The following is an 11,870-nucleotide window of genomic DNA, read 5'->3' on the forward strand; positions in this document are numbered from 1 at the left end:
TAGTCCTCAGCCATCACATTTTACAGAACGGATGGAGAGGATTAGTTGGCCTGGGAAGATAATGAAGTGGAGGTTGCTTAAGAGCGTTTCAAGTGTATATGAAAATGCTTTTTAAACATGTCAAGAGCTCTGCAAATGTGAGGGGTGAAGGCGGGCTTGGGTTTCTTCCTGATCAAGACTCCCTGGCAGTTGTTCTTAATCTGCATGCCAGATCCCCCAGTGGTTCCAATAACTGAGTAAGAGATGGATTTCCTACACCCTTCTGAGGGTAGTGAAAGCCAATCCAAATAGGAGCAGTGTGTCCTCTGTCAGCCAGTGGAGATTCTGCGGATGGCGCTGGAGACAGAGCGTCAGCTTTGGTTTGCCTTGACACATTATACTCCTCATCTTGCCCTTGGTAGTTCAGCAGTCAGATGGGCTGAGACAATTGTATTGTACATGCTGAGAGGACTGTCAGCTCAGGCCACGTAACTAGAGGACCATTCACCTTTAAACCCGAGATCTCATCAACTCTTATGGAAACGATCTTTCGATTGTTTTTGCAGGAAAGCCTGAAGGACACGTCTAGGGTCTGAAATGAAACCTGAAGACAAATATAAATACTAGAAAGGAGAAAAGACAAGAAAATGGTCCCAGGCTACAATTGCTCACCCAGCCAGACAGGGGTAGAGCAACCTCCAGGAAATCAGAAGAGTGCTGAGGGAGATTTGTCAGTTTTGGGGGTGCTATGCAAACATAAGAGCAATTTATTCCTGATTTCATGGTTTTGCACGCTGAAAAAGGAATATGTCCTGGAAATGTTCATTCCCATCTCAAGGCTTTCAACACCTGACAAAATGTTAAACCTATTGTCATCTGAAGCCTCCCTGGCCATGAATATTTAGATAAGATGGGCTGAAAAACTCCACGCTATGTTCCGAGGCCATCCCAGAACTTCCTCTTAGTCTTTATGAATTCTAAAGGGTTGGGGGATCATTATTTTGGCTTTGAGGGCTTCTCTACCTAATTAGTTCAGTTTAGGGATCACTGCACCACTCCACATGTGCAACCATGGTGATGCAGATGTAGAACTGACTCCTTCCTTAGTCGACACAAAAATCTGCTCAAATGGGGGTTTCACATGCCGCAGACACACTGAAGGTCTTGAGGAAGCAGAAGGGGTTTTATTGCAATAAGAGCAGAGAGCAGAACTGGGGACAGCCGAGTTGGCTGACCATGTAGTTCACTGCACTGCCATGGTGGTGCCAAAATAATGAACCATTTTCAATTAATTGTTAGGCAATCTACTTTATCATTCTTTCACTCTTTCTCTTGACCCTTGTCTTCCACCCAACCCCAGATATATTTTTAAGGACTTCTTTATTCTATATACCACCTTTAGCCTCATATTATCTCACAAGCCTCTAGTGCTTTTCCAACCCCAAGTGTTTTCTATCTTTCTGTTAATTAAAGCAACTTCATTCTCTCTGACTCTGTTTGTTTGTTTGTTTATTTGTTTTATTTTTAAAATTTTTTTGTAGAGACAGAGTCTCACTATGTTGCCCAAGCTGGTCTCAAACTCCTGGGTTCAAGTGATTCTCCCATGGCCTCCCAAAGTGCTTCCACCGGTGCCTTGGCCTCCCCTTGCAGGCCTCCCTGCTGCGTTGGAACCCTACCTGCGGGGCAAAGCCACACCAGGGCCATGAACCCCGGACCCCAGGGACCCCGGGACCCCAAGCATGCGTGGCACAGGATGGCCAGGGGCACCGGCCCCTGCTCTGCCTCGCCGGGTGGTTTCTGCTTGCACCGGTGCCTCGGCCTCCCCTTGCAGGCCTCCTTGCCGCGTTGGGACCCTCCCCGCAGGGCCCAGCATGAACCATCAAACTCGGCCTCTGTCTATTCCCACCACCAAACTCAGCTCTGGCAAACCCAAATCCACAAAAAGGCTTATGCCTTAACAGGATCCAGCCTCAATAAAACAAGTTGTGGTTATAAAGAAAATTTGTTTTCCTCCCTTCTTAGAAGAGGAAAATGTTTGGTCCCATAACCCACAGTCAGAATATGGAACCATGACTATATCCTGGGTCTTCTTGACCTCATGCTTTGGTGACATAATAGGTAAATGCTAATATTGGGCTTTTTGCATTCTTTTTCTCTCTCCATGGTGAAATAACTTCACATCTCTGAAAGCCCTGATTTTTCATCTGTGAAATGATAAGGCTGGATGTGGTGATCTCTTAGTCCCTTTGGCTCTAATGCTCAGACAGTGCATGGATTCTCTGTACTCTCTGGGCCTACAGGGGCCAAGCTATTGCCTCCACGCAAAGAGCAGGGCTATATTAGTCAGTTCTTGCATTGCTGTAAAGAAATACCTGAGACTGGGTAATTTATAAAGAAAAGAGGTTTAATTGGCTCATGGTTCTGCAGGTTGTACAGGAAGCATGGCGGTGTCTGCTTCTGGGGAGACTTCGGGGAACTTTTACTCATGGTAGAAGGCAAAGCAGGAGCAGGTGTCTTACATGGAAGGAGCAGGACTGAGAAAGAGCAGGCGGGGAGGACCCACGCACTTTTAAACAACCGGATCTCCTGAGAACTCACTCACCATCACAAGAACAGCACTGAGGGGTGGCGCTAAACTATTCACGAAGGAGCTGCCCCCGTGATCCAATCACCAGGCCCCACTTCCAAAACTGAGGATTATATGTCAATGTAAGATTTGGGTGGGGACAGAGCTCCAAACCATATCAAGGGACTTTGGTATCATATAGGCTCTGTAACTTGTAGCTGTGTCACCTTGGACAAGTGCCATCTACCTGCTCAGCCTTATTTTCCTAACCTCTTATTCCACTTAGGTCTTATAATATTCTTCAAAATGACGACAGTGGCTAGTATATACTAAACAATTACTATATGCTGGACATTGTATTTAGTACATTTTTCACATTGTCTCTTATTTTATGTTTTCAGTCAGAACTCTTTGTTGCAAGTGGCAGAATTAGAACTCAAGGCTACTTCTGCAAAATGGAAATGTCCTGGTTCATTTCATTTCACCCTGCTATCCTGCATGTAGGCACGTGCTTCTTCACATACATACACAACTTCAAATATGCCCTTGCCTGACAATGCAGCTGTCCCATACACAACAAAAATACACTCAGCCCATCCCCAAAAGGAGGCAACATGAAATCTTGTCTAGTTAATGCACCCAGTTCTAAGTCCAGAGACTCTGATGGATAGGAATTCCCCTTGGTCAATCCAGATGTAGCTTCACATAGCTTTACAGAATTCCATGGCTAGAAAGTAACTCTAACTCCCTGTTACATCCAACATTCAATGGTGGGAGCAAAATAGGGTAATTGGGGAAAAAATGTCTTATTTAGGAAAAGAAAATAATAAAACAACATACAGGGGCTACTGTCTTATAACTGGTGAGATCTTATGCTGGAGAAGGTAGCCTGTATTGGCTGCCCTGGCAGTGGAGTGAGTTATGTGATAAGCCAATCAGGAAGTCCTCATTTCTGCTTTCTGGAAGGCTCTTTCTTGCACACATCCACCATGGCCCCATGTGAGCTGCCTCAGGAAAAAGGTTCCCTTACAGGGCTCCCTTCATTCCTCTAGCAGCCCACTTGCTGTTAGTGCAGGTTTGGGGCCTGCTCATTTCAGGGGTCAGGCAATTACAAGCATTTGCATGCCAAGCTTTGGGTTTCTCTGGCAGTTCAAGTTGTTTCAAACTATCCATCCATTATCTTGGCTAATAATAATAGTAGGTGTTGAGTAACTAACACATATATTAAATGCTTTCTATGTGCAGGCACTCTTCTAAGCTCTTTACATACATTATCTTAATTAAATCTTGAAGACAGCAGCATCACTTAGATTACTATTATTCTCCCTCTTTTCTTGGAAAGAGATAGAGGAATAGGGAGGTTAAGTAGCTTGCCCAAAGCCACACAGCTAGTGAAGTTTGGATTGAACTCAGCCGAACCACCTCCAGGCTTTTTAGAGCTGTGTTGTTTAACCAAAGCTCAGTTAAGTCATGGTCTTTGAATGTAGTCTTAGGCCTCAAAGCATCTGTCCCTTGGCAACATGTCTTTGTGTTCCCATTGTGGCCTCTGCCCCTGGGCAATATTAAACAATAGCTGGGTGGGGAGGAGCAGCCAGTCTGCCCCTTGTTCCCAGAAGGTTGTCCAGTGGGTGGCTCTGTGCAGTGTGATTTGACCATCACCCGCTTTGTTGGCTGGGAGCCCACCACCAACTGGAGATCAGGCTTTCCCCAGATCCCAATACATATCTTATTGGGATACATATACATATACAATACATATACAATACTTATCTCCCCCTGAGTTTCCAGCTTTTCTGCCTTTGCTTGCATTAACCATGACTTGGAGAAGACGGTTTGGCTTGGCCAAGCCTTCAAAGCTCTTGAATCCCTGACTTGCAACCACTTAACCCTGCTGGTCATAGGCCCTCTCCTAAGAAAGTCACCTCTCACCCACTCCCCACTCCACCATGCTTTCAGATAAGTCAATTTGTAGCTTGTTTTCTTTCTTATAGGGCCAAACTGAAGGCTGCAGGATGTAATCCTGACATTTCCTATCAAGTCTTTTAAGGCTTGAGCTTTGATAGGAATATGGTCTAAATCTCAAGATACACGAGGTACATGAGCCATGAAAGACTAGGTTATACTACTCTAACCAACACCTCCAAAATCTCAGTGACTGACAACTACAAAGGTTTATTTCTTCTTCATGCATCATGCCCATTGCTGGTGAGCAGGGCAGCTCTGCTCCTGACCTATACTCAGGACTCCAGGCTGATACAGCAGCTGGCATCTTCAATGGGATGAAGGCAATAAGTACCCTGGAGAATCTTGCACTAGCAATTATGTGTTTAATTTTGTTCAAAATTTATTGGCCAGAACGAGTAGGTGACATGGCCCCACCTGATCACAGGGGCCATAAAATTGAATTCTAACAAGTGCCTAGAAGGCAGAGAGTGGCAAATATTGGGTGAGCTACTAAAGCTTATAACAGCAAGCTTTGAAAGGGTAACCCACATTATAGGGTAACCAACTTTCTAGCCACGAGAGTGAAAAGCCTCTCCACTCCATCTCCTACCCTGACAACTAATTCCATAGTTTAGGTTTGTTCCCTGCAATTCCCAATCTCTTGGTGCCAATGTCTACAGTATTCAGAATTATTCTGGCTTTTGAATATATGGAATTATTTTGTATATATGATTAAGAAATCCAGGTTTACATTGTGCTTTGGGCATAGCTGGAGACAACAGCTCAAATATTCCCAGGATATTGTCTTTCTCCATATTTTCTGGCTTTGCTGCTTTCTATGTTGGCGTCATTCTCGAAAAGGGTCCCATATGGGATAACAAAATAGCCATTCACAGTTTCAGGCTTACATTCTATTGGTTTAGCAACCCTTATGGAGAGCATATATTGATTTTCTAATACCACTAGCAGAAGTCAGTGGTTCCACTTAGGTTACATACACATCACCTACCACTGTGGCCAAGTCACTTAGTCCATTCAGGCTGCTACAACAAAATTCCTTAGGTGAGTAATTTATAAGCAACAGGAATTTATTATTCATGGTACTGAAGGCCAGGCAGTTCAAGGTCAAAGCAATGGCAGATCTGGTGTCTGGTTAGGGCTTGCTCTTTGCCTCAACGCTGTGTCCTTGTATGGTGGAAGGGGCGAATAAGCTCCCTTGAGCCTTTTTACAAAGGGCACTCATCCCATTCATGAGGGTTCTGCCCTCGTAACCTGTTCTATCTCTCAAAGACCGCATAATACCACTGCATTGAGGATTAGGTATCAGTATATGAATTTTGGGGTGACACAAACATTCAGCCCTTAGCACCAAAGACATAATGTTCTCTGATGGGCAGTTCTGAGTCATGGGCACAGCCCCAAACCAGGAGGCAGATTAGCTCCATCAGAACACTATGGGCTGAGAATAGGGGAGGGGTGGTTCCTGAGAGAAAAGGAAATGTCCTGGGCCAGAAGAGGAAATGCAAGATGGACAGGCAAAGCCAATAGATATTTGTTACAATCAAATGTTGTTTATATCCCCACTTTCTGATTGTGGAAATTAAAACTTAGCAAAATTAAGTAGCAAGCCCCAGATCGTGCAGTGGTAAGCCTGAAATTCAAATGCAAGTCTGATTGCAAATGACGTTTGTTATTTACTGTGCTTATTTGCTGGCTAGACATTCCTATTACTGATCTAACAATCTGGAATATATGATAAAATTGTTGCATGAGCTTTTGAATGCTTAAAGCAAACAATGAGATCTACAGTATTTCTTAATTTTTTTAATGTTGATGAATAAAATGACTCCAAATATAATATGAACCCCCCCAACCATCTAAATCTTTCTACAAATTAAAAGACCCCACAATGAATATTTTTTAAGTTCAAAATCTCCTTCAGAAAAATTAAATGGTGGAAATGAGTTAATTGATAAATACAAATTCCCTTTTAGAAAGGACACAGATTTAATATAAAATAATTGCCTCTTTATGACTGATTTATCTTAAGCCTGACTGCATTTAAATTATATCTTGCCCTTATTCAGACCTTATCTAGGAAAATAAATGAACCTTTAGCTCTGGAAGGAGATAGAATGGAGAATGCCCTATAAGGAGACAAAGAAGAAATAGCCTGAGTTTTTAAAAGATGGATTGAGATCCCTTTCTCTCCTCCTGGTTGCTGAGGAAGACATACATATCCCACTGCAATAAATCGTGAGTCACTTATAAAACAGTTCCTTCTAATGTAGATCTATTAGGAATGGCTTCCCTCCCAACTCCTCCCCCCAGAGCCCACCACTGCTGCCTTGTCCATTCAGAACCTCCTTTGAGGAGTCTGATGCACAGTCATCTCCCCCAGGGTCCATGGAGAGACCATTTGGTTGCAGACTGTTAGGACAGGGTGCAGCTTGCTTCATTTCTAAGACCTCATTCTCATGCTGCACATTTTCCTTTAAAGTAAAATATGTGGCATTCTAGACCTTCAATAGTAATACGATGGGCTCTTCTCCCCCTGTCCCCAAAAGGGAAAACAAGGAAATACACAATTTCTCACATCCTTTAAGACCAAATAATGCCAACTCTGACCCCCAAAAAAACGGTGGCTGGGGAGAGGAGCAGGCATCTCCGTTATTCTACCTCTTTGTCTAAACAGCCCCAATTTATTGAATAATTGCTGATGCCCCATTTTGTATGTATAGACCTAGAAGAGTTTATATTTTTAATTGTATGTGCTCAATTTTCTCATAAAATTATATTGTACAAAATAGGGCTGGACATGCAGGATTATCAAATTTGGGAAGCAGTTGAGTAAACATTCTTTCTTTCTCCTTATGATAGCCTGAGTGTCTTTCAAATGTGCAGTTCAGGAACAGATATGAGTGAGAGAGTAGACAGCACATTTGAGGCTGGGCAAGTAGTTATAACCAATATGGTATTTACTGGTGACCTTGACCAGAGCAGTTTCCACAGAGCAGTAGAGAGGAAACTCTTGTTGGAGTGGATTCAAAGAGAACATGAAGAGCTGAAATGGAGACTGAGAGTCGAGACAGCTCTTTTGAGGAGTTTTGCTGAAATTGGGGCAGATAAATCTGGCCATAACTAGAGAGTGATGTGAGATCAAGGGAGAGTTCTGTTCTGTTTTACAGTGGGAGGGATTGTAGGTTTGTATGCTGAAGGGAATGATCCAGGAGAGAGAAAATAGTGATTCTTGAGTAAAAAAAGGAGGCAATTGTTGAAGCATTGTCTTTGAGTAAGAGAGAAAGGGTAAAGTCTAGTGCACAAGCGAAGGGATTGGCCTTGGAGTTCACCCATCCCAACCAGGGGGCATGAAGTACCCCCAATATAGGTGCAGGTAGCTGGGAGGATATAGTGAAAAGAGCCTATGAAAATTCTCTTCGAGTTGCTTTAGTTTTATTAGTGAAATAGAAAATAAAGTATTCAGCTGTGATGAAGGCAGGAAAAGAGGTATTGGAATTCGAGAAGGGAGAAAAGGATATGAAATAATCATCTAGTTGAATGGCAGAAAGAACACCCTAGAAGAACAATCCAAAGATGCTTATTTCTTGTAAAGTGATAAACTTAAGCTTGACCCCACAGACTCTGGCTGTCAGTGTAAGTTTTGAATTCTGATTGGAACTGTCATGTGGTGATTAAATAATGCCTGTTGCACAGTGGCGGAAAGTCTATAGATGATGAATTTAACCTCATGGTCTTTCAAATATTAAATAGCCTATAAAACAAAAATATTCTCAATTAAATAAAACAAAGATTGTCTCCCTGATAAGGATAGGCCTGAAACTAAAACTGTTCTAAGATGCATTAAAAAATATTCCAAGGACTTGAGGAAAAAACATTGCAAGTTGAGATATCAAAAGATAATGCAGCTTCCAAAGTCAGAAACATAATCTAAACCAGAATAATATTCAAATGCTGTGTAAAAAGGCTCATTAAGAATATTTTTACAGTATAATTTTGGAAGTGCAGAAGACATTAGTATTTAGAGAAACATTTATAAATAAACTTTTAGACAGTTTTTTGACCTGACTTTCACACTCCAGTAGGATGGCATTCAGGTGGTCCACAATTCCCTGAATCTGCACAGCAAATATCATCTGTAGATGAGTATGTGCATATTTCTGCAGGTGAGCACATAACTTTTATTGAATTTTCAAAATAGATCATGAGTCCAAAAGCATTAGGAACTTCCTAAGAAAAGAAAATGATCTACATCAGAAAACTTGTCACACAAGTAGAATATTTTACATCAGGAAACTTCTGAAATAAAGATTCAGAAACACCTTGGAATAATAGAAACACAATGGACCAGGAACCAAGAGTTTGCATTCTACTAGTCTTGCTTCTATTAATAATAAGTTTTTTGATAATGGACAAGCCTCCTCATTTATTGGGCATCAGCTTCCTCACCAGTAGAGAATGGTGTTGGAACATGTGATTGCTAAGGTCTCTTCCAGTCCAAACATGGTAAGATGCCATGAAAATGTACCACTCTGTATGGTTTTCGTTCATAAAAAATGAGAGAGACTGGCTTTATCTACAATAAAGACTTTGGATGGGGCATTCTGGCTCTTCCTGGATCCTTCTTTTCTCCTCCCTTTAAGTCGCAATGAAAAATCATCTACCAAATACAGAGAAATAACAAGTTGTCATCTAGAGGCTGCTTTGGCCCAGCTTGTAATGCTAAGTGACGATGAAGACACATTCCCCTCTCAGGTGCTTGCCAAGAATGGATTTCTAAATATTTACATGTGACATGATGTGTTAGTGCATTTTCTGTTGCTATAACAGAATATTTGACAATGGGTAATTTATAAAGAAAACAGATTTATTTAGTATGGATTTGGAGGCTAAGAAGTCAAAAATTGGGCAGCTGCATCTGGTCAGCATCTGGCGAAAGCCTCGTGTTGTGTCACAACCTGATGGAGGGTATCTCAGGGTGAGAGGGGCACACAAGATAGAGCCAACTCTGTAACAACCCACTCTTGTGACAACTAACCCAGTCCTGTAACAACCTACTGATCCACAAGCCCATTAACCTATTAATTCATTAATTCATGAATGAATTCATCTATTCATGAGAGCAGAGCCCTTGTGACCCAATCACATCTTAAGGGCCCCACAACTTAATACTGTTACGTTGGGGATTAAGTTTCAAAATGTGTTTCAGGGGGGATGATCATTCATACCATGACAAAATGGCAGAAAATGTGCAACTCCAAGACCAAGAAAACGTGAAGAGGCTGTGACTACCTCCATGTGAGAAACATCTGAGTTCCTCCTGATCCTAAGACCTCCCCACAATGTATGTATGATAGCAATTTCCTCTGACAGAGCAGTGAATTTGATGATAGTGCATCGATTGCTGTAAATTGTCTGCTGGGTTACCTGTTCCTACCACCTTAGAGCACTCACAGCTCAGTGACTGTGGAAGTCAGCTTCCAAGATGTTCCCCTATGATCCTCCCCTCCTTGTATTCACATCTGTAAAGATTCCTCCCACAATGAATCACAGTTTCGTTTTGTGACCAACAGAATACAGCAGAAGTAAGGAAATGTGACTTCCAAGGCTAATGAATAAAAGGCTTTGCAGTTTTCTCCTTGGTCAGTTGGAAGCCACCTGCCATGGACACTCAAGCAGTTCTGTGGAGAGGCTCATGAGGGAAAGAACTGAGGCCCCTCCACCAACATCCAGCACCAACTTGTCAGCTGTGTCTGTGAGCCATCTAGGAATGAGACCCTCCTGAAGCCCTGGTGAAGCCTTCAGATGACCGTAGCCCCAGCCAACATTTGGCTGCAGTCTCATGGCAGGCTCCAAGCCAAACCCTACCAGTGAATTTGCTACCAAATTCCTGACTCATGGAAACTGTGTGTGTAATAAATGTTTATTGTATGATAAAGCCACTAAATTTAGGAGTAATTTCTTACACAGCAATAGATAACTAGTAGAGTCACTTTGCATCTCTTAGGGTCTATGGCAAATGACACATAATGAATAGAGAAATTGGAACAGACAACTGGTTGTCTGTTTCAGTACAGAAACTGGTTGGTATTAAGAGTGACAATTTTTATTATAGTTCAAGCTATAGTACTGTATGTTCTTGAATAAACTATGCTAATCTAGGCCATCCAAAGACTTCCCAAAATGTATGGTGAGAATAACATTTCCAAGATACTAAACCAATGTTTGTAGCTCCTGATAATTCCTAATTCCTGGTTGCCCCAAGCCACCACCTGCCCCAACTAAAACAAAAGAATTGATCACATCATAATAAAATTAGAACCTTCAAAGAACAGGCACTGATCTCTTGGAATTTTTATTTTAAACTTAAGTTTACATGACAATCTGCTTCCACTTACATGATAATCTGAAAGCATATGTTGAAATGGCATGGTTCTTGGTTGCAGAAAACAGAAATGAAATCTACCTAAGCAGAAATTAAAATTATAGGAGGGATATTGGGAGCTCATAACATCCAGAGGCTGACTAAACAAACAGACTTCAACGTCAAAAGCAGCCCCCACCCTGGAGGCTAGGGATCTATGAGAGCAAATTGAACATCTGATCTCTCAGCTCTCACCAAACTCACACCATGGCAGAACCTTCACGAAGGGAGGAAGAGACTCAGATGCTGAACACAAGGAGAGGAAAAAACGTCGTAAGATGCTTCTTCTGTTTTTCAAAGACCCAGAGTTTGTTGTGAGAAAGAGCAAAGACCTTTTTCCTAACTCCCAAAGCTGGAATTTTACACATCAGGGACCAAGCCTGGTGGGATATGAACATTAAGTTCATTTGTTTAAGTCAATGCAAGGAGGATTACATGAGGCATGGGCAGAAACTGTGAGATAAAGAGAAAGGAAGAAACTCATAGGGAGTGGGTGGGGAAGAGGAAGCCACTAAGGAAGAAGGGTAGGAAGTCAGATTAGCATCCTTTTGGCTCCCACATCTGAAGTGCCAGGCTGAACTTCAGCAGAAGACGTTGGGGTAGGTGTAAGGTGCTTCCAGAATAGGAAACTATTTTCTTACTTTCCTTGGGCTCATCCTGTAAATACTCCATGCCTCTTAGAGAAGCCCTGTGGCCAACAGGGCGCTGCTTGCTGCATGGTGCCCGAACGAAAACAGACAATTCTGAGGGAAGTTCCTGAGACCGGGCCAAAGGTTACCACATCCCTGGCCTAGTATTTATGGGACATGGAAATTCCCACGTGCTCCAGAGGAAACACAGATGGTGACTGATGACGCTGGCTTCCAAGCTGTCCTGGGGAAGACGGTTACCTTGTAGACTCAGCTCCACAGCAGACTCTGCCAGCCAAATTCTCAGGAG

Source organism: Homo sapiens, chromosome 7, assembly GCF_000001405.40.
Source record: "Homo sapiens chromosome 7, GRCh38.p14 Primary Assembly".
In the NCBI taxonomy this organism is placed as follows: Eukaryota; Metazoa; Chordata; class Mammalia; order Primates; family Hominidae; genus Homo; species Homo sapiens.